Below are 23,838 nucleotides of genomic sequence, written 5' to 3' on the forward strand. Positions count from 1 at the left end.
GATCTTCTCGCATCCACCATCTAGCAAATACCAGGCACACACTAGACGCTCAAAGCCTCACTGAATGTGTGTGTGAATAAATGACTATATGAGAGCCATGTGGATCATGGACAAAGTCAATAAATATTTTTGAACATCTACCAAGTACACTGTAGAATAGGGAAATAAGTAACCCAGGCAGGGTGGTGTTTTCTCCTAACTTCCCCTGACCACCTTCCTGAAGGTGGGAAGGACTCTGTACATCAGGGAGACTCTTGACACAAATAATGTTCTTGAGATGCATTGCAAGAAGTCATGTTAACAAGAGGAAAGTCCATTTGTCTTGGGGGTGTTTTAGTCAATGGATCTGAAGGACCCGAAGCCCCCTCTGATGACACACAGGGTGCAACACCCACCCTAAGTTCATGGAGGGGAAACCAGATGGAGTGAGTTGACAGGGAGCAGGACCTGGAAGAACAGGGGGTAAAGAGACTGAGGCACCCGGAGGGAGGTCTGAGGAGTTGCTCCCAACCCCTGCGGTGGCCTCGGTGTGGACTGATGCAGAACTCAGCAGCATAAGTAAGTAAAGTGGCCGCACCAGGCTCTATGCATACATGGGACCATTTTTCAGTAAGATTTTCTTTCTGCTAATGGGCTTCACTTTTGCCCACTTTCTAACACATCAGGACAAGTTAATAGGTTACAAACCATCGTTCCATTCAGCAGTCATTTATAGAATACTCCCAAAGTGCCAGGCCCTGTGTGAGTTCAGGCAATACAAAAATGAACATAAAAGCTCCTGTCCTCTAAGATCCCCATCCAATGAGCTCCAGGGAGCACCTCTCCTACAACACGCCCCTGCTCTGCACGGCCCTCCTCTCTGCCCTCCACCAACCCAAATCCTCCTCCACCTCCAGCTCAAGTTCCACCCAACCAAGTCCCTCTCAGTCCCCCTGCACTCCTGCCACTTTGAGAGATGACTGCACTCATATCTCTAGGTTTTATGAAGTGGATGTCATCTCCCTGGTTAGACTTGAGCCTCCTGAAGGCAGAGACCATTTTTAGAATTTTCCAGAAAAAAAGCCACATCAGTAATTTGCATCAGAACAAGCTTAGACTCTGCTCAAGCCTTCAACTTAGACAGAGACTCCACTGCCTAGCACAGTCCCTGGTCCCTGCAGTGCTTTATAAACCCTGCAGTAGCAAAGTCCACAATCAACTCGTGTGTCAGTCAACAGGCTGGGATAAGTTGAAAATGCAGACAGAGAAGAACAGTCAAACAAAAATCAAAGGGCTTTGACTCATGCCTTGCCTCTTCCCTTTTCTCAGGGAAACAAAGTCACACCCCCTGCTCTCACTCCTGCCTGGAGGCTTCCAGGGAGGGCTCCCTTGTTAGCCTTCCCTTCAGCCCCCATGAATATCACCCAGCATTCAAGCCCAGCCTCTCCTCTCCCTTTGAGCACATTGCCTAAAGTCTCAAATAAATGTCAAGTTTAGTGAGTGCTGATATTCTATGCCCCTAATGTTTACTTCAAGTATTATTACCTTTCTTCTTTTGCCCGGGGCCATTTCCAAACAAGGGCTGGAGCCAGGCGCCCCAGCAGCTGGGCAAACACACTTCAGGGCTCCTTCCCTCCTGTGGCTCCTGTTTCTCAAACCCTCTGGGACCTGCAGCTCTGGGGGTCTCTTCCCCCAACCCAGTTCCCTCCCCTTTAGACCAGAACAACTAAGCCATGGCCACCTTCCCGATGGACACACAAGGAGGCCTGGTGTCACCCACTGCTCCAGGGGCGGTGTTCTCGGCAGGGGAGCTGCCTCTTGTCCCGGATCCTGCTCTGCTGCCACCTTATGTGGCTGCAGAATTGGAGGGAATTGTGAACAGAGAGAGGACAGGGCAACTTCCCAGGCAACAACACTACTATTGCCAATATTTTGCCAAGGATGGGAGCAGGAGCACAGAGGGAAAACAGACCTTGTCAACGTCTCCTCCACCAACACATAACACCCACTTTCCTGCCAAATACTCAGATAGAGAAGGTCACTGAAAGTACAAGAAAATTCAAATGAGAAAAAAGACTTGAGGAAGAAACCATGAGGCATTGGGGTGTGGGGAGGTGGGAAGGAGTACAGGAGAGAACTGGCATGGCTGCCAAGTTGTCAGTCACCTTCTTATGTTCTTAAGAATGCTGCATTTCTTTTGTTTGACCAGTTTCACTTCCCAGATTCCCGTAAAGCACATGGTCTAATCTGTTACCTAACAGCAGGAAAGCATGATCTCACCTGTTCTTGCCCTCAAGTAGGAACACTGCCCTGGGACTATACTGCAGACCACCAGGCTGAGCCATCCCCAGAGGTCAGGAGCTTCCAACCGGGAACCTTTCATACACTCTTCAAGCAACGTACAGCTCCACCGACAGTCACAATAAAAATTCTAATATCTTCCCTCCTCCTGTTGCTGATGTCCATGGTCTCTAGCAGCCTGAATCCAGGTAAATAAGACTGTCTATGAAGGGGAAAACGGGGGGAGGAAATGGAGCAAAACAGGCCACAGGTGCATCAAAATGTAGCCCTTTCAGCTACAGGGATTGGGAGCAAGTGAGCCTTTTTCAGTGCCAGTTTCCTCATTTACTGAAAGGAGCAAACTGTACTTACATCTAGTGTTGTGAGGGTTAAATGAGATATTGTATGTGAAAGTGTCTGCAACTACAGCTGGCAGATATATACATATGTACATATTGGTTCAACGAATATTTGCTCCCATGCCTTCACCCCCAAGCCTTTTCCAGAAGAGTAATGCATTTCCCCAGGGTCAAACTTGGTGGCAGTAGTGGGAGGGTATTGAAGGCAACCATATATTTATAAAAGATAAGGAACTCTTTGCTTATATTCTTTTTTTTTTTTTTTTAAAGACAGGATCTTACGCTGTCGCCCAAGCTTGGAGTACAATGGTGCAATCATAGCTCATTACAGCTCAAACTCCTGGGCTCAAGCAGTCTTCCTGCCTCAGTCTTCCAAGTAAGTAGGGCTAAAAGTGTGCACCACTCTGCCTGCCTAGTTTTTCCTTTTTTTTTTTTTAGAGTCAAAGTATCACTATGTTTCTCAGTCAGATCTCAAACTTTGCTTGTATTGTTTATATTCTTTAGAGTGCACCAAGCATGACATACTTTAATGCTATTCAATGGTAGCTAATAAACGGAAGAAAATCCTATCACCAGGTAGTGTCCGTATTTGAAGCTTTAGCCACACCAAGCCCTGCTGCAACAGTGCACCATTTGGGTAGCAGACCTTTGGCTAAGGCTTTCTAATCTGCTCCAGTTTTCACTACAACCAAAGTGGCCAAGCCCTTTGCAAAGAAATCATGCAGAAGACAGCTTAGCCCCATGTATATTTCCACTTGGGAGCACCATCTCCCCAAGGGCCACTTTGAGGTGAAACAGCTTTGTTACATACTCAGCGTCAACTTGGTCCTAAAATCAGGAGATGTTCAGCCTTCTCCACTCCAATTTCCAATGTTCCTTGCTTTGTAGAGAGAGCGCTCTGGAAGCTGCTGAGCCCCATAGCCCTGGGGCCTAAACCACCATTCAGGAAGGGAAGGTTTTTCCATCACTGTGACAGACACCCAGGCCAGAGTCCTCAGCCTAGACTAAAAGGTCTAGCCCCAACCTCCGTTTCCAGTGCAACCCCCTCCACTCACTAAAAATTACTCTCTCTCCACCCAAACTAGACTGTTTGCCCTTCCCTGAACAGGGCTTGTGTTTTCCCACCAGTTCAACTTTGCAGATACACTCAACTCAAAAACCATCTTCCCACAGGCCAGACAAGTGCTCAGCTCCTCCCACACCCAGACAATCACTCTCCATCCTGAAAGCTGGCTTAGCCCTACTGGACTCTCTCTTCTTGCACTTATCTGCTGCCTTATATTGAAGACCTTCCTGTGTCTCTCCTGCCTCCACCCACTACCCTTAGAGGTTGCAGCCTCCTTGGCAGCACAGACTGGTGCACTGTTTCCATATCCCTCATGCTATCCAGCTCAGCACTCAGCAACCATTAGCTAACCGCACGAATGCGTCCTCAGGTTTCTAAATCAAACCAGGGCTTCAGAGCAGGTCTACTGACAACTGGGCTGACCGATTCCTTGTAGTGAGGGCTGTTCTGTGCATTGTGAGATGTTCAGCAGCATCCACATGCCCTCTCTCCACTACATGCCAATAGCAGCCTTCCCCCTCCCTCAAGCACCCTCTTCCTTCATGAAAGCAAAAAATATTTCTAGATATTGCCAAATGTCTCCTTGAGGGAAACCACCCCTAGTCGACAACCATTGCTTTATACCAATAGTTCTCCACCTGGCCCACACATTTACACTTATCTAGGCATTTACCCTCAGCCTGGAAGTCAGGGGGGCCTAGATCCAAATCCTGGTTCTGTCACTCCCTTTGCAACCCTGGACAAGTCGCTTCATTTTTTTTCTAGCCTTTTTATCGTCTTAAGATGAATAAATACCACTGTTCACACAGGCTTGTTGTGAAGATTAGATGAACCTCAGTGTAACCTGGAAAGGGTTCAATAAATGGACTGAATGGAATTTCTAAAGTCGCTCCTAAAGCACTAGGGTGAGGAACTGGGGAAAGCTCGCTGCGCCGCCAGGGGGCGCCATCACAAACCACCTCGGTGGGTGGCGCCGGGCTCGAGCTTTGTTTCCCAGCCAAGTAGTTTGTAATGCGGGCCTGACTCTGAGCTACTTAGTGGCTGGAAGAAATAATAGCCCCTCCATTCCCAAAATAAATCTCAAAATAAAATCTAATCTTATTTTATATCCCTTTTTTTTTTTTTTTGAGATGGAGTTTTGCTCTGTTGCCCAGGCTAGAGTGCATTGGCGCAATCTCGGCTCGCTGCAACCTCTGCCTCCTGGATTCAAGCTACTCTCCTGCCTCAGCCTCCCTAGTAGATGGAACTATTGGTCCCTGCCACCACACCCAGCTAATTTTCATGTTTTTAATAGAGACGTGGTTTTGCCGTGTTGGCCAGGCTGGTCTCGAACTCCCGACCTCAAGTGATCCGTCCATCTCGGCCTGCCAAAGTGCCAAAGCGTAAACCACCGCCCCGAGTGGCTGGCATTGTTTATTATGTCGCTGATATTGTCCCAAATTTGGCCATTGGGAGTTCCTTCTAGTTGGTTTCTGTGACTTTTGACACAACCCCATCATTTTTCAAGCAGTTCCTTACTTCTGGCCCCACAGAATGTTTACTTCTGGCCCCACAAGGCTCCTCTTGTGCTTTCTTGCCCAGCCCTGGATCAGCTATTTCTCCAGGGACCCCTGGTTCCTTTCATGGGAAAATGATGTTTACAGACCATGGGCACCCATATGCCCATTGCTAGTAGGTGCCGGTGCTTCTATGCCCTCTAGTGGTCGGAGCTGGGAAATAACACACCCACACTAGTGTACTGTTACCCACATTTCACAAATTAGGTAAATGAGGCACAGAAAAGTTAGACAACTTGACCAACATCACAGAGAAAATAGGTAGTAGAACTGGAAAACAAAAATAATGACAGATGCACAAGTCCTAACAAGCAAAAGTAACTTCTTCACACATGCATGTTAGCAGAAAGCCACAAGCCCAATATTCCAGCATAGACACTCTCTTTGGAAAATAACCAGAATTCCACAGCAATAAACACAATGATAACCATCACGTACTCAACACCCGCCTGGACACTGGGCTCCCACATATTCCCAACAACTCTGCAAGGAGGATTTTACCATCCTCCTTTTACAAATCAGGGAATCAAGGATCATAGAAGCCAAGTGACTTGTCCAAGTCAACATAGTTAAGTGACAGAACCATTAGCTGAGCCCAGGTCTATATCTGGATATAAATTCCATGCTTATGCCACTATATAAGCATTTCCCAAAACTGATTTTAGGTGAAACATAAATAAACTTTTAAGTTTAACTGTGTTTATTTTAACGCATGACAGGAAAAAAAATTAAGCACACATCAAATCTCTGATTTCATGGACAATATTGCATAAGACAAAAATATTTTGTCTTCAGTTCCTGGCCTCAAGCCATCCTCTCACCTCAACCTCTTGAGTAGCTGAGATCACAGGTGTGAGCCACCAAGCCCTGCTAAGACAAGGATGTTTTGTAAACTAAATTTAATTACAAAAAAAGTATGAAGTAAATAATAATAAAGGTGGTAAAGCTGTAGAGAAAATCATAAAGTTGGTCTAGAAATGTCTGGGGTCTGGATGACATAATACTACAGCACCATGCAGCTTCATTCTCAGTTACTCCCAGGAAATTAGAGTCACATAACACTGCAGAAAGAACAATTCAGAATCTTAGACCCGGGCTTTAGCCCTGGATGTGTCCACTCCTAGGACCCCAAACATCTCTGTGACCTCCTTGCTGGAGGTAAATCCAACCTTCCCAGACGTGTGAGAACACTAGGAACATCCTGCACACATAGAGGGGTTTCTCTGTCACAGAGAAAATAACACCAGGTTTGAGGACCCCAGGGACTCTCTGTGTGGTGCTGACAGACCCAAGGCCCAGACACAGCAGAGGTCCGTGCTGGGGAGGGCGGGTCGTCCTGTTATGGAACAGGGGTCCAAACAAGCTTGCTTCTCAGAGCATCTTCTGGGGAACTGAATATAAACAGAAAGGGAAGAGGAGGAGGGACAAAAGAGACAGAAATGAGAGGGGAGGGGATAGAGGATTCCTGAACAGAGACCGCACCCATGACCCACGTGACCCTGGGAAATGCTTCTATCCCTGAGAGGAGGCTCAGCACAGAAGGAGGAAGGACAGCAGGGCCAACAGTCACAGCAGCCCTGACCAGAGCATTCCTGGAGCTCAAGCTCCTCTACAAAGAGGTGGACAGAGAAGACAGCAGAGACCATGGGACCCCCCTCAGCCCCTCCCTGCAGATTGCATGTCCCCTGGAAGGAGGTCCTGCTCACAGGTGAGGGGAGGACTCCCTCGGAGTGGATGGGAGGAGGGAGCACAGAGACTGGCTAGGGTCTCCTGGGGAGGACAAGGCTCTGAGAGGAGACAGAGGGCTTTTGTTGAAGCCTGAGGAAACAGAACACCAGAGAGGGACAGGGGTCACAACAGGAAAGTCACACTAAACTGGGATTGATAAAAAGGGAGGAAAATCAATTGATCATGTTTTCCAAGTTAATCATCATTTGTCATTACCATTTGAAAAAAAAGAAAAATGATAGAAATCAGAACTGCATTAGGATGACACTCCAAATAAAAATATAACAAGGAAACTAAATGCTGCCCTTACTCACCAATCAGAAGTTGAAAAATAACCACCAGATACACTCATTAACTCATCCACAAGCATTTGCAATCAATTTTAGTCAATGGCATACAACAAGCATCAGACAAGTCTCAGTCATCACAGAGCTTATGCTGTCATGAAGAGGAAAACACACACACAAAGAGATATAGAATGTGAGGTCAGGTGTTGACAAGAGCCCTGGAAGGAACAGAGCAGGGAAAGGTCAGAAAGAAAAGACCCAGGGTCTGTAGAGGGGGTGTCAGGGAAGGGATCTCCCAAGAATGCCCTGATGTGAGCAGGACCTGAGGCCAGTGGGGAGGGAGCCATGCAGACCCCTGGGGAAGAGCATTCCACACAGGGAAATGCCAAGGTCAAAGGTGCTGAAGGAATGGGGGTGTCACACTGCTGACTTTGACTCAGTAGGACACACACACACACACACACACACACACACACACACACACGCTCCAACGTGGAGGGGTGAAGAGACCTGCTCAGGACCCAGGGCCCTGTTTTTCCACCCTAATGCATAGGTCCCAATATTGACCGATGCTCTCTCCTCTCTCCTAGCCTCACTTCTAACCTTCTGGAACCCACCCACCACTGCCAAGCTCACTATTGAATCCACGCCGTTCAATGTCGCAGAGGGGAAGGAGGTTCTTCTACTCGCCCACAACCTGCCCCAGAATCGTATTGGTTACAGCTGGTACAAAGGCGAAAGAGTGGATGGCAACAGTCTAATTGTAGGATATGTAATAGGAACTCAACAAGCTACCCCAGGGCCCGCATACAGTGGTCGAGAGACAATATACCCCAATGCATCCCTGCTGATCCAGAACGTCACCCAGAATGACACAGGATTCTATACCCTACAAGTCATAAAGTCAGATCTTGTGAATGAAGAAGCAACCGGACAGTTCCATGTATACCGTGAGTATTTCCACATGACCTCTGGGTGTTGGGGGTCAGTTCTACTTCCCACATACGGGATTGTCAGGCCTGGGTTGTGCCTGTGGCCCTCTCTGCATTACATCCTGTATCAGGGTTTGGACATTTAGTGCAGGACACACACGGGGGAGACAAACTTCCACAGATCAGAATTCCTTTCCTGGATCCAGACCCTGCAGACACTCGCTGCAGAGGAAGGACAGTCTGATGGGGGGACTCAGCAGGGCGAGGTCAGTGTCAGACAAGCACCCCATGGTCTCCCCATGGACCTGACCCTGAGAAAGACCCTGGAGAACTGGATCAGGGCCTGGCCTGAGGGGTCCCCCTAGGGACCCCTCAGAGAGAAGCTCAACTCTTCCCTGAACTGAGCCCCTGTACAAAGCCCTGTCCCTGGTTCCTGATTCCAGGTGATCCTGGGGAGTCTGTGCCAGGGCTGTGTGGTGGCCTCTTGGGCAGGGCTGGCTGGGAGCAAGGATGTGAGCTATCCAAGGGCCATGACTCCTGGAGTTGGTCACCAGCCAGGTCCGAGCACCCAGAGCCTCATCTAGCTGAGGATAGGGCCTCCTCCTTCACTTGAGGCTCAGCATGGAAAGGACAGATGGAAAAAATTACTAGTGCATGAGCCCACTGCCCTGGGGGACACAGGTTACTCCCTGGGAAGTTCAGAGTCCCCAAGGGGAGGAACAGAGAAGAGAGGATGCTCCTGGCAGCTCCATGTCCACCAGGGATCAGGCCCAGGGCCCTCTGTCTTGGAAGCAAATAATCATAGATAACTGTTCACTTGGGCAGCTCCTCTGTGCAGAGCTGAGATCAAGTAATTGTAAATATTTTGAGGTTAACTCACAAACAACCTCACAGCCAAATAGCACTTATCCTACTTATAGAAAGGAAATTGAGGGACAGGGAGACAGTCACTAACAAGGGTCACACAGGCCATAGGTGGCAGATTAGAGACATATGAGGTCTGTCTGCAGCCACAGCCCCCTCCTCTCCTCAACCGGGGGTGATGGGGCTGTTTGTTGTTAGGCATCTGCATCTGAGGCCAGTCATGGGTTCACTTCCTTTTGTCTTGTGCATCCGCAGCTCAGAAGTGGAGATTCTGGTCTGGAAAGTAAGAAGCAAACAGAGAATTAATCAGTTTTACTCTAGAACTAAATCACCTGCCTCAAATAACAGAGTCAGTGCTGGGATTGTCCAGGCCTCTCCCTTCGATCCACAGTCCCCTCACTGCACCTGAAATCCTGTTTCCCGATGTGTGGGTGTCACTCCCATGGGAGGATAAAGGAGAGGACTTTGCTTTCTCTCCCCACTCACACCCTGCACCAGCACAGGCCCAAAGTGAGACACACGCTCGCTCAGGAGTTCTCTCTTGAAAAAGGGAAGAAAGGAAGAAGGAATGAAAAAAGGATCCATAACCTCTTTAGAGACCGGCTCCTGGATGCAGAATCCTATGAGGTTCTGGCCACACCTGTTTCTTGTCCCTCAGGGGCTGACACCCATGTTCCATCCCTCTGAACCCCTGTCCCTAAACCTACCCCATCTCATGTGACTCTGGGGTTCCTTGGTCATTAGAGGGTTTTCAGGTCTCCCTGGTCCTGGTCTGGGGCAGCCAAGAGGCTCCTGGTCCCTGGGGTCTCTGAGGTCACTGTATCCCCCACTGCTCACTGCCATGGGTATCTCTGGCTCTTTCTGCTCCTCTCTGTCCCTCATTTTCCTCCCCTTTCATTCTAGCTGGGATGCCCTGCCCTGCACAGCTTCCTCCACCCTTAGGCCTTCCCCAGAAAACCCCTCTAACAAGGCTGGCTGTCCTGTTCCCTTCCTGCTCACACTGTGTCCTGGCCCACATCCCAGGCAACAGAGAAGGCACAGAAATCAGCCGGAGCAGCCGCCCCTGCCGGGCTCCATCACGAGCCAATGTCCCCAAGTCAACAGGAGAATGAGCTTCCACTGTGTCCCCATCCAGGGCTCTTTCCCCCAGTGAGGCCGACATGTGGAACAGGCCACGGGACAGGGACAAGCGACTCCTCCATACAGTCTCTACTGACTCACCAGGCAGTCAGAGGCAGGATGACAGGTCTGCTTTCCCCAAGGCCCAGAGGCTAATTTCATCCATTGACTTCCGTCCTCATCTTGGTGTGAGGCTCACATCCTCCAGTCATTCCCCAGGACCTTCCCCAGGTGGAGCCGGCCAGGCAGGTGCTGTCTGATGGGTTTGCTGCCCATTCCACATACACTACTGTGTCCTCATGATGATGCCATTGTCATAAGGTGGGGTCCCTTGGACTGAGAAGTGCACCAGCCACTGGAGTCTCACATAGACTCTGCCCAGTTTAGATGAACTTAAACTCTCATTGTGTTTTCTCAGGTTAACAGGAGAGGAAGAAAGCATTTCACATGACTGTTTGGGGCTCCTTCCCTATTTGCCTAACTGCACAGGAATTAGGGGCAGGGAGCTCTTTCTAAATTTACTAACATAACACACGTTGCTTCTAATTTGGCATCGTTCCTTCCTTTATGTAACTGACACACACCTAAGACTTCCTCTCCTACTGGTTCTATCCTCCTAAGAGGACTCATATGCCTCTCTCTACTCAAGGAGTTGCTAATTTCAAACCAACTTCAGCATCTTCATTTGACGACAATATGATCCTGCTGGAATTCACAGCACACCTAAACCTTAGTATGTTATCAAGAAAAATACTACTTCCAGCCCTTGATCTTTGATCTTTAGGACATTAGTAACGATCTCCACTTATGGAAAAAATTAAATGTTTCCCCCAAAGTTCTTTTATTTTTTACTATATTCAGAACATAACATGAGGTCTAAACTCCTGACAAACTTTTCAAAGCAAATTACAACACTACAGGTCAAGCATCCCACATCCAATAATCCAAAATCTGAAATGCTCCCAAATCTAACACTTTTTGACCACTAAAGTGATGCTGAAAAGAAATGCTCACTGGAGCATTTTAGATTCTGGGTTTTCAAAATTAGGGTGCTAAACGGGTAAGTCTACTGCAAATATTCAAAAATCCAGAAACAGTCAGAAATCCAAAACACTTTTGGTCCTAAGCCTTATGCGTAAGTGATACTCAATCCGTATGAACTATAGGTACCAAGCTGTACAGCAAATCTCTAGAACCTCATCCTGTGTATAACTGAAAGCGCACACCCATTGACTAACTCCCCATTCTGCCTCTCCCAATCCCTGGCAACCATGATTCTACTCTGATTCCATGAGTGTGACTACTCTAGGGACCTCATATAAGTGGAACCCTACAGTATCTGTCCTGTGAGTGACTTATTGCATTTAGCATAATGTCCAATGGGAGAAAATATTTGCAAAACTTCTCCTCAAATTTCTGTCTCATATCTGTCAAACACACATGGTCCTTGAGAGTCAGATTTGCAGCATTTCATGCTCCCCCTTTCCACCACTCAGCTGTGCATTTGCAAACATCCACATGTGTTTATGGAGAGAGCCACAGGGTCCTCACCTGCCCTCCGCAGAGGGAGAAGAAACATTAAAGGCCAAAGAAAAGGAACACGGTTCTGCTGGGAAATTCAGGCAGCTCCTGCCTGTCCCCCTCACTGTCTTCTAGATCATTCTCTGAATTCTGCTCTATCTGTAGGTGTCACAGGCTCAAGTCAGTCATTATTAAACACCTGGGAAAAACTGCCCCACCTGTGGTTCCACTGCCTGATGACCGAACTGACCTCCAGGCTTGCCCCTGGTGTCCCCTGTGTTATTTCTGCTGAAAGGTCCAATCCCAGGCCAGGCTGCACAGTATCCTTGGGGTTTAAGGACAATAAGAAGTCCCATCATCACCCATCTCTAGAATGTCCTTAGAAAAGGAAGCCACACAGAAAATACAGCTAGGGGGGCAAAGTAGGACTAAAGCTTGAAAAGACCCAGCACCTGAATGTTTCAGGTGAGGACTCCAAGGGAAGCCAGGCAGGCAGCTGGTCAGGGAGAAACCAGGAGAAGCACAAGGGGCTGTGACCCCGGGTCCTGTGTCTGTCCATGACCCAATGCTGCTGCTCAATTCACACTTGAGAAAGACTGTGCTTCTCCCACACAGAGCAGGTGATCTCACACAATCTCAGCCCTCAAATCATCGTGCATCTGTTGTGTGACACACACACCTGCCAGGGGCTTTTAAGGACTCAAGGGGGCTGAGAGGTGAGAGATGCCAACTCTGATTGAAAGATGCCTGTGGAGGAATCAAAGGTGCCACACAGGGCAATCTTCTCTCTGTTTTCTGCACAGCGGAGCTGCCCAAGCCCTCCATCTCCAGCAACAACTCCAACCCCGTGGAGGACAAGGATGCTGTGGCCTTCACCTGTGAACCTGAGGTTCAGAACACAACCTACCTGTGGTGGGTAAATGGTCAGAGCCTCCCGGTCAGTCCCAGGCTGCAGCTGTCCAATGGCAACATGACCCTCACTCTACTCAGCGTCAAAAGGAACGATGCAGGATCCTATGAATGTGAAATACAGAACCCAGCGAGTGCCAACCGCAGTGACCCAGTCACCCTGAATGTCCTCTGTGAGTATCTTCTGTTCCTCTGTGGCCCAGGCTGCCAGCCCAAATCCACACAGCCAGAGTCCAGGTCTCTCAGTCCCTCTCAGGTCTAAGGACTCAGACCCTCACCCAGGCTGGCCATGACTTCCTGCCCTGAGCAAACCTGGGCAGACCAGGCCTTGACCAAGAATGGGAGGGGAGGGGCTGTCTCCTGTGCTACTTCTGCTCAAACACCCATTCCCATCATCACTCATCTCCAGGATGTCCTTAAGGCTCAGGGTTCACATTTTCTGATGGGAGAAACAGGTGAATGTCTCAGACTTTGGCTCAGGGGACATAGCGGGGGTTTGGTTGAGACTTCAGGGTTGTGACATGGCTCAGGGGGACACCGTGGCCCTTCCACAGACCAGGAACTTATGCTTCCCTCTGACAACATCACCTGTGGCTTTATTCTGTTTCCTCCAGATGGCCCAGATGTCCCCACCATTTCCCCCTCAAAGGCCAATTACCGTCCAGGGGAAAATCTGAACCTCTCCTGCCACGCAGCCTCTAACCCACCTGCACAGTACTCTTGGTTTATCAATGGGACGTTCCAGCAATCCACACAAGAGCTCTTTATCCCCAACATCACTGTGAATAATAGCGGATCCTATATGTGCCAAGCCCATAACTCAGCCACTGGCCTCAATAGGACCACAGTCACGATGATCACAGTCTCTGGTAAGTGGATCCATGAAGCACTAGCATCACATTTTCAGGTGGAGTCTGGCTCTCAGAGAAGAGCCAGGAAGAAATTTTCTTTCCCAACCTGTGTCCAAGGGGCACACGCAAATCCCAAATTCTCCCCTGAACCCTCCCAATTCACCTCTGCAGACTCTTTTCCCCTTGTTTTTTTGTTTTTTGTTGTTTTTTGTTTTTTGATTTCTCATGTCTGACTTTGGGTCCATCCTGGAATGAGAGGAGGGGGCTCCCTCAGCACTGAGCCCTGTGTAGTGAAAGGGGCTTCACAGAGAAAAAAGGAGGAAGGGTCCTCAGGGTCAAGTTCCTGCTCTCTGTCACCAACAATTCCCTTTCTGTCACTTCTTTGTGTTCTTTTACCTACTCCATAAGCTACAAGGGACAAGGAGGTTTTGAAATGAGCTCACACTTTTTCCTTAAATGAGAAGAGGAAGCCCCTTGGGTGATGGAGGAGCAGCTCAGACTCTGCCCCCATCTCTGCTCCCAGCACCCCCAGTGACTGACTGACCCCACCCTGAAGCCACCTAAGGTGGAACCAGGGCATATGGAGAAGGTGCCCAGGTGTCTGTCCTGAATCAGGCTAAATCAAGATGCTAATCAACACCAAAGCCTCCCCTGGATCAGGCCGCAGGAAAATGGGAAGACATGGAGCCTCATGACAGACTGCTGAGCTGTGTCCTGGCTCTGAAGTCACTGGCTGTATAAGACTGTGGGCACAGCACATGGGACACAGCACAGAGGACAGCAAGTGACGCACACTTGGAGACATAGGGAGATTCAGCCATGGGGACTCTGCATGGCAGGGAAGGGGCAGTGACAAAAAGTGTGTATTTATAGAGAGGATAAGACTACCAGCCACTATGTATCTAATATAGGACTTACCTTTTCAACCCTTCCACGTGTGCAGGTCCGTAGTATTAAACACATTCCCGTTGTTCTGCTACCATCACCACCACCCACCCACAGAACTCTCTTCTTCCTCCCAAAATGAAACTCTGTTCCCATCAAACTCCTGGGCAGAGCTGCCCACCTGTGACCCACAGCCTGACCCCTGAACTCACCTCTAGACTTGCTTCTGGTCTCCCGCTCAAACCCCCATCCCCATCATCACCCATCTCCAGGATGTCCTTAAATAGCAAAGCCTCAGAAAAAACACACCTTGGCTGGGTGGTGTGGGACTGTGCAGCTGAAAGAAACAGCACCTGCATGTTCCAGGTGAGTACCCCAAAAGACCAGGCAGTCAGCCAGTCAGGGAAGAAACAGGAGAGGTGCCAGAGGCTGTGGCTGTCAGTCCTGTATCTGCCCAAGACTCAATGCTTCTGCCCTATTCACATTTGAGAAAGTCTGTACTTCTCCCACACAAAGCAGGTGGCCTCGATCTCCGAGCCCTCAGATCGTTGTGCATCCGTCTTCTGACACACACACCTGCCCTGGGCTCTTAAGGACTTGGGTGGACTGAGGGGTGGGAGATGCCAACTCTGACTGAACGATGCCTGCAGAGGAATCAAAGGTGCCACACACGGCAATCTTCTCTCTGTTTTCTGCACAGCGGAGCTGCCCAAGCCCTCGGTCACCAGCAACAACTCCAACCCTGTAGAGTTTTCTACATATAAGTTTAAGTTATCTGTGAACAGAGATAATTTTACTTCTTTCCGATTTGGATGTCTGTTTATTTGTTTGTTTGCTGCCTAATTTCTCCAGCTAGGACTTAAAACACTATGTTGAAGAGAAGTGGGGCAAGCAGGCATCCTTGTCTTGCTCCTGGTCTTACAGGGAAAGCTTTCAGTCTTTCTCCATTGAGTATCCCTCTATTATGTTGAGGTGGTTTCCTTCCATTCACAGAGTGTTTTTATTTATAAAAGAATGTTGAATTTTGTCAAATGCTTTTATTGGCTAAATCTTATTACTAATTATAGGTCTATTCAGATTTTTTTGTGTGTTCCAGGAATTTGTCCGTTTCATCTAGGTTATCCAATTTGTTGGCATACAATTATTTACCGCACTCTTTTAATCTTTATTATTTCTGTAGAATTGGTAGCAATGTCATCAATTTTTTTGAGAGTAGGTCTCACTCTGTAACCCAACCCAAGCTGGAGTGCAGTGGCTTGATCATAGCTTACTTGCAGGCTGAACCCCCTGGGCTCAAGTGATCCTCCTACCTCAGCCTCCTGAGTAGCTGGGACTACAGGCATATGCCATCATGCCTGGCTAGTTTAAAAAAAAAAAAATGTGGAGACTGTGTCGCCCTATGTTGCATAGGCTGGTCATGACTTTCTGGCCTCAAGCAACCCTCATCCTCTGACCTACCAGGGTGCTGGAATTAAAGGTGTGAGCCACCATGCCCCCATTTTCATTTCTGATTTTAGTAATCTGAATCTTCTCTTTTTTTCTCAGTCAACCTAGTAAATGATTGTCAATTTTGTTGATCTGTTTTGAAGAACCAACTTTTGGTTTCATTGACTCCCTTTATTGTTTTTATAGCCTCCATTTTATTTATTTCAGTTATAATTCTTATTGTTTCCTTCATTCACTATCTTTGGGTTGATTTTGTTCTTTTTCTATATCCTGAATTTGTAAAGTTAGGTTGTTGATTTGAGGTCTCTCTTTAATGTAAGTATTTACCACTATCAATTTCTTGCACAAGATTCTTAACTTCTCTGAGCCTTCAATTCTTCAACTGAAAATTGCAATAATTCTCATCACTAAGAAATGGGTGGAAAAAATGAAAATTGAAATAACAATGCCTGTTTCATAGTATCGTTTTGAAGATTTAATGTAACATTTGATTAAGCCTTCAGCAAAATGCCACACACAAAGAAAAGCTTCACAAATATTAGCTATTATTATTACTACTGTTACCATTAACCTTAAAGTCAGGTAGTCCTAGAGTCAAATTCTAAATCCACTTGTCACTAACCATGTGACTTTGGATAAGTTTTCTCATCACCCTAAGCCTCTGTCTTTTCATCTGTAAAATGGAAATAATGTCTACCCAAGAGAGTTACTGTATAAATCAAATGAGATACAGGTAAAGTATTTAGCACAGGGCCTGGTATCTAGGACATGCCCCTCAACAGTAGCTAACCTAGCATTAACCATCGCACTGAGATGACTGGTGAGGGCTAAGCACCAAATGGAAACTCACTAGGACATGGTTACTGGCTAAACATGGGAGAGAGGAAAAACAGTGCAAAGAATCAAGCCTGGTATGTTAGCTTTCATCCACTGAGATGCAGCCAAGATGGGATTAGAGGTACAAGATAATTCACTGGGTAAAACAGCCATGAGGGAAGGTGGAGCAGCAGTGACAGGAGAGCCTAAGAGAGCCCTCAGACCACGATGCAGATCTCATTCCTGAGAAGGAGAAAGAGAAGGAGGGAAGTTTTACATAGCAGTGCAGTTCTGAGTTTCCCCAAGACCGATGGGGAGTCCTTGAACCCCTCACCCATGAGAGTGAAGCAGGGTCTCACAGACCTGGGCTTGCTTTCTTTCCCCTGGTGGGAGCCCATGGGAAGTGAGTTCTCTGTGCAAAGAACATAGTAAATTCAGAATGCACTAGCCTGGGCCTTCTGTCCATCAAGTCCCTGCCATAGAGCTCCAACAGGCTCTTATTCATGGCTGCCACAATTGAGACACTGAGAAAAAGATGCAAACATAAAAATATAGAAAGTTCTAATGACATGCAAAAATAGCAATCAGACTTTCTCAAATTTTCAAAGCCTTCAAAAATGTCTGAGTGCAGAAAGAACAGGATGAAATTGACAGAAGACTGATCACCAACCTAGAAACGTGGTAAGAGAGAAAAAAAATTGCAACTTTCCCACAAAACTAGTGTATTCCTTGAAGGAACAAGTCAAGCCTACTTCATGTTGACAGCTAGTTCTTGGGGACCCCACTGTAGAATAACATCACCTTCATTCCTTCTCTCTTCTTCCCACAAGGAAGTGCTCCTGTCCTCTCAGCTGTGGCCACCGTCGGCATCACGATTGGAGTGCTGGCCAGGGTGGCTCTGATATAGCAGCCCTGGTGTATTTTCGATATTTCAGGAAGACTGGCAGGTATGATCGCCTTTCCTCTTGCCATGTTTCCTGCAGGGCTGACCACCATGCTTGGGAAAGGAAAAAAACTTCTTCACCTGTATCTGGGACTGGATCTCCTTCTACCGCTAAACTCCTGCTTCTCAGCACTAATTCCTGCAGGTCTCTTCTTCCCTGGTCTTCATGCTCCCTGTACCCCACTGTCTCCTAGATATAATTATCCCCAGCCTCTGCTCATTTGTTTCCTAGAGTCAATACATTGTCAAAGCCTCTTCGTCCTTTTTCAACATCTCTCACTTTTGTCAGTCTCTCCATTCCCATCAACCTCAATAATTGTTCAACATCCTGCTTGACCCCTTGTTGTAAGGTTGGAATCCTTCTTGCATATGACTGCCTCATTACCTTCCTAAAATCTAGTTCACTCACCTACTTAAGGAGCCAAAGGGGGCCAGGCACAGTGGCTTATGCCTGTAATCCCAGCCCCTTGGGAGGCCGAGGTGGGCGGATCATGAGGTCAGGAGATACAGACCATCCTGGATAACACAGTGAAACCCCGTCTCTAGTAAAAATACAAAAAATTATTCAGGCATGGTGGCGAGCACCTGTAGTCCCAGCTACTCGGGAGGCTGAGGCAGGAGAATGGCGTGAACCTGGGAGGTGGAGCTTGCAGTGAGCCGAGATCGTGCCACTGCACTCCAGCCTGGGCGACAGTGCAAGACTCCGTCTCAAAAAAAAAAAAAAAAAAAAGAAGCCAAAGGAACCTGCTCTGGCCTACTAGTTAAGTTCAAATTTCTTCTCTTTACTAATTCTTCTTACTTTCTTTCCCTCTACTTCCCAGTATAATTCCTCCATCTTAATTAGAATCTGACTCTCTACACATCCCTGCCCCTTTACCCCGGATGCACATAGAATTCTTAGTTTCAATGTTACACCTAAAAACAGGGTGATCTCCCCTCCACTACCTGCCCTGTGGACTTACTCACACCCTTCATCACAAGCAACCTCTTATTTCATGGAGAACACAGACTGTGTAGTATTAATATGTGAACTTTGGACACATCCTGCATGTGGCTGAGAACCTTTTCCTGACAATCAATTCATGTGTTCATAACAGATACAGAAATGAAGAAGGCAAGGTCCCTACCCCCAGGGAACATAAAGCCCAAGACAGGAGATAAGACCTGAAAAATAATCATGATACCAAAGTAGAAAGGAGCGAATGCCACAAAAATTCAGATAAATCTGATGGGAAATATAGCTACACATTGGAATCACTCCGAAACATTTTTAAAAACGGATGCTCAAGCCCCAACCATAAATTCTGATCTACTGATCTGGAGTGGGACCCAGGCATTGGTAATTTTTAAGCCTCTCCAGACGCTACTAATGTGTAGCCACGATGGAGGATCCCTGTTCTAATAGGTAGGACTTGGGGCTAAACCCATGGTTTTTAGCTAGGAGGATTAGAATTACCTCTGGAGCTTTTTCAACATACATGGGCCTATACTTTGTTGGCCTAATTCATTAATGGGCTCCACCAAGAACTCAGTAATCTAACTGAGAAACAGAAACTAAAAGGAAAAGCCGCCTTATTTGATATGTTACATTATATGGGAAGCACTGTCAAATGATAAGTGATGCTAAACCTTCTCTAAGTTATATTTATGGTTATGTTATTGATGTGAGTGTTCCAAAAATTATAAGAGATTCCCAGAAATCTAACAGATTATAAGCCATAATGTCATATGCCACAGAAGTAACTAAATGTCTATGGGAGATGCATTCTTTTTTTATTTTTATTTTTATTTATTTTTATTTTTTTTTATTGATCATTCTTGGGTGTTTCTCGCAGAGGGGGATTTGGCAGGGTCATAGGACAATAGTGGAGGGAAGGTCAGCAGATAAACAAGTGAACAAAGAAACAAGTGAACAAAGGTCTCTGGTTTTCCTAGGCAGAGGACCCTGCGGCCTTCCGCAGTGTTTGTGTCCCTGGGTACTTGAGATTAGGGAGTGGTGATGACTCTTAACGAGCATGCTGCCTTCAAGGATCTGTTTAACAAAGCACATCTTGTACCGCCCTTAATCCATTTAACCCTGAGTGGACACAGCACATGTTTCAGAGAGCACAAGTTTGGGGGTAAGGTCACAGTTCAACAGGATCCCAAGGCAGAAGAATTTTTCTTAGTACAGAACAAAATGAAAAGTCTCCCATGTCTACTTCTTTCTACACAGACACGGCAACCATCCGATTTCTCAATCTTTTCCCCACCTTTCCCCCTTTTCTATTCCACAAAACTGCCATTGTCATCATGGCCCGTTCTCAATGAGCTGTTGGGTACACCTCCCAGACGGGGTGGTGGCCAGGCAGAGGGGCTCCTCACTTCCCAGTAGGGGCGGCCGGGCAGAGGCGCCCCTCACCTCCCAGACGGGGCGGCTGGCCGGGCGGGGGGCTGACCCCCCCACCTCCCTCCCGGACGGGGCGGCTGGCCGGGCAGAGGGGCTCCTCACTTCCCAGTAGGGGCGGCCGGGCAGAGGCGCCCCTCACCTGGGAGATGCATTCTTATCATAATGAACTCTCATCAGATGTTTAACCATACTCATTTTCAATCTTTGTCATTCACTGACAATTGTTTTTTGTTTTGTTTTGTTTGGTGGGGGGGTTGTTTTTTGTTTTTGTTTTTGTTTTGAGATGGAGTTTCACTAGTTGCCCAGGCTGAAGTGCAATGGCGTGATTTCGGCTCACCGCAACCTCTGCCTCCTGGGTTCAAGCGATTCTCCTGCCTCAGCCCCCTGCACAGCTGGGATTACAGGCATGCGTCACCATGCCCGGCTAATTTTGTATTTTTAGTAGAGACGGGGTTTCTCCATGGTGATAAGGCTGGTCTCGAACTCCTGACTTCAGGTGATCCACCCGCCTCAGCCTCCCAAAGTGCTCGGATTACAGGCATGAACCACCGCGCCCAGCCCCGACAATTATTTTGATTCTTCCTTCCTTAAAGCATTTGCAATCAGCTACCATCCAAAATTGCTTCTTCATTGAGGATATTTACAGAAAATACTCCGACATGTACTCTTGAATACAAGTTTCTGATAACATTAAAATCATACCATTAGACTATTTAAGAATTTCCAAAATTTTAACAAACTGATAGCTTCATGAAACTGCCAACCAAGAGCAAGCAGAGAATTCATTTCATGAGACTAAAAGATAATAATGAAAATAATATTTTTATGATTTTTTATTTGAAATTTTGTGGATTCTTTGTTTTGTTTCCCAGATTTCAGGAAACATTTTTTCTTTTAAGCTATCTAGAGCTTCAACAATTTTGCGAACAAAAATTGAAACATCTATATTTTCTCCCTACCTGACTGCTCCAGAATTCGGAAATTATTCATGAATATTTATATGTTTATAATAATATCGTTATTTGCACAAAAAATATAGTTATTAATATTAATTGTTATAAAATAATTATTATTGATAAACAATTATTTGATGATCATTATTTAATAATTTATTAATATTTATTAATAAATTAATAATTATTATTTAACGACTAATTGTAATTGTTAATTAATATTAATATTATATAATAAATATAATAGTATAGTTATTTGCTCAATAAAAATCTGCTCCCTTTATAACAGGATACATTTGAAAACACTGGTTATATTACCCAGGCTTTGATTGGGATGTTATATTTGGGAATATACATAGATGAACCCATAGGCACTGCTGGCAAAGTCTGAAGTCGGCCTTGGTTTGGCTTCCTCATGTCAAGAGGTTTCTAAAAGTTTAATCTGAGATTCCTTATAAAAACTTCCTGTAAAACAAACTTGAAAAGACCCCAGGCTGGGCACAGTAGCTCACGTCGATAATCCCAGCACTTTGGGAGGCCGAGGTGGGTGAATCATGAGATCAGGAGTTCAAGACCAGCCTGGCCAACATGGCAAAACCTCGTCTCTGCTAAAAATACAAAAAAAAAAAAAAAAAAAAAGCTAGGTGTGGTGGCGGGCTCCTGTAATCCCAGTTACTCGGGAGGCTGAGGCAGGAGAATCACTTAAACCTGGGAGGTAGAGGCTGCAGTGAGCTGCGCTCCAGCCTGGGAGTGCATACATAGGCCTATACTATTCATGTGCGTACATGGGCCTATACTATTCATGTGCATACATAGGGCTATACATAGGCCTATACTCCTATTCAAGGAGAATCGCTTGAACTTGGGAGGTGGAGGTTGCAGTGAGCTGCACTCCAACCTGGGCAACAGGGCAAGACTCTGTCTCAAAAGGAAAAAAAAAAGACTATGTGGTCACCTGCTACTCTTGTTGCACTTATATAAAGAATGAGGCCAAGTTCGATGAGACTAAACTTATTTGGAAAACAAATATGTCTTACTGGGATTATCTTTGGTAGAAATAAAGATGCCTATGAAGAGAAAAATTATGTTGAAAAAAACTATAGTACACCTGTTATGACATCACAGCTCTGCTTATTGTTTTTTATTTTCATTATCCACCTATAGATTGGACCAGACCCTGAATTCTTCTAGCTCCTCCAATCCCATTTTATCCCATGGAACCACTAAAAACAAGGTCTGCTCTGCTCCTGAAGCCCTATATGCTGGAGATGGACAACTCAATGAAAATTTAAAGGGAAAACCCTCAGGCCTGAGGTGTGTGCCACTCAGAGACTTCACCTAACTAGAGACAGTCAAACTGCAAACCATGGTGAGAAATTGACGACTTCACACTATGGACAGCTTTTCCCAAGATGTCAAAACAAGACTCCTCATCATGATAAGGCTCTTACCCCCTTTTAATTTGTCCTTGCTTATGCCTGCCTCTTTCGCTTGGCAGGATGATGCTGTCATTAGTATTTCACAAGAAGTAGCTTCAGAGGGTAACTTAACAGAGTGTCAGATCTATCTTGTCAATCCCAACGTTTTACATAAAATAAGAGATCCTTTAGTGCACCCAGTGACTGACATTAGCAGCATCTTTAACACAGCCGTGTGTTCAAATGTACAGTGGTCCTTTTCAGAGTTGGACTTCTAGACTCACCTGTTCTCACTCCCTGTTTTAATTCAACCCAGCCATGCAATGCCAAATAATAGAATTGCTCCCTACCAGCTGAACAGGGAGGAGTCTGTGCAGTTTCTGACACTTGTTGTTGAACATGGCTAAATACAATGGGTATCGCTGAGACTAAGTTGTAGAAATTAACAAATGTGCTGCTTGGTTAAAATGGCTACACTCATCTGACTCATTCTTTATTCTATTTTAGTTGGTTTGTATCTTGCCTAAGGTGCGTAGTCCAACTCTTGGTATTACCCTCCTAATAGTCATACTAGTAGTCATACTCCCTGGTGTAGTGTATTCTCTAAAAGCTTTAAATGTCTGCATGCAGCCAGCCATCAAATAGTGAATGGTCTCTCTTTGGCTGGAATTACAAAACTCAGAGAAATGTGTCATCAGGAGAACATCATAACCCATGAAGGATAAAAGCCCCAAATGGTGGTAACTGATAATAGCACTAATGCTTTAAGATTTGGTCACACTCTCACCTAGGTGAGCGCATTGAGCCAGTGGTGCTAAATGCTACATACTCCAACTGAAATGTTAAGGAAGAAGATAGATCCAATTAAAAAAAATTAAAACCAATTTAAAAAAAAAAAGAACACAGGAGATTCCAGTCTACTTGAGTTAGCATAATACAGAAGTCCCCTCTACTTTAACTTTTACAAAAAAGTAACCTGAACTAATCTGATGTTAACCAATGTATTTATTTCTGTGGTTCTGTTTCCTTGTTCCAATTTGACAAAACCCACTGTTCTTGTATTGTATTGCCCAGGGGGAGCTATCACTGTACTTGTAGAGTGGTGCTGCTTTAATTCATAAATCACAAATAAAAGCCAATTAGCTCTATAACTAAATTTGTTGTAATTCTGTCTCTTGATGTGGGTTCACAGCCAGCCACGGCCAGTGGAGTCTCTCAGGCGGCGTCATTCTCACTCCGACCCTCCTGCCTTCCTCTTTCACTTACAAGGGCCCTTCTGAATACACTGAGCTCGCCCAGATTATCCAGAATAACCTCCCATCTCAAGATCCTTAACTTTACTTATTTGCAAAGTATTTTTGCCAAATAATGTAACATGCACATGTTCCAGGGATTAGGATGTGGACATTTTTAGGAGGTCATTATTCTGCCTAACACAAGTAACTTTCATAAACATCACCCACAACAAAAATTTGCTTTGCCTTCCTTCTGTGTCTCACCTTTCTGCCTGAATCACAGGCCAGAGCACAAACTTCAA

At 46.2% G+C, this 23,838-nt stretch overlaps 1 protein-coding gene and 1 long non-coding RNA gene across 3 annotated transcripts; one reads left to right on the forward strand and one right to left on the reverse strand.

Moving 5' to 3' along the window:
* Nucleotides 1-6,775: 6,775 nt before the first annotated feature.
* Nucleotides 6,776-23,457, forward strand: CEACAM6 (CEA cell adhesion molecule 6). 2 transcript variants are annotated; one of them, NM_002483.7, is made up of 6 exons: nt 6,776-6,948; nt 7,846-8,205; nt 12,495-12,773; nt 13,215-13,469; nt 17,429-17,545; nt 22,048-23,457. In NM_002483.7, the coding sequence occupies exons 1-5, from the start codon at nt 6,885-6,887 to the stop codon at nt 17,503-17,505; spliced, it is 1,035 nt and encodes a 344-aa protein (NP_002474.4). In that variant the 5' UTR covers nt 6,776-6,884; the 3' UTR covers nt 17,506-17,545; nt 22,048-23,457. The 2 variants fall into 2 exon arrangements, with proteins under 2 accessions (NP_002474.4, XP_011525292.1); XM_011526990.3 differs by lacking the exon at nt 17,429-17,545.
* On the reverse strand, nt 8,014-10,607 carry LOC112268252 (uncharacterized). Its single transcript, XR_002958447.2, has 2 exons — nt 10,273-10,607; nt 8,014-9,327 (listed from the first exon to the last, which is right to left on the reverse strand). It is a non-coding gene; the product is annotated as an uncharacterized LOC112268252 (long non-coding RNA).
* Nucleotides 23,458-23,838: the final 381 nt, after the last annotated feature.

The sequence above is a fragment of the Homo sapiens genome, chromosome 19 (genome assembly GCF_000001405.40).
Source record: "Homo sapiens chromosome 19, GRCh38.p14 Primary Assembly".
Classification (NCBI taxonomy): Eukaryota; Metazoa; Chordata; class Mammalia; order Primates; family Hominidae; genus Homo; species Homo sapiens.

Coding starts and splice junctions, on each gene's coding strand:
- CEACAM6 (NM_002483.7), top strand. CDS start 6,885: ATGGGACCCCCCTCAGCCCCTCCCTGCAGATTGCATGTCCCCTGGAAG. Junction 12,774..13,214: donor AGTCACCCTGAATGTCCTCT/GTGAGTATCTTC, acceptor TGTTTCCTCCAG/ATGGCCCAGATGTCCCCACC. Junction 13,470..17,428: donor CACGATGATCACAGTCTCTG/GTAAGTGGATCC, acceptor TCTTCCCACAAG/GAAGTGCTCCTGTCCTCTCA.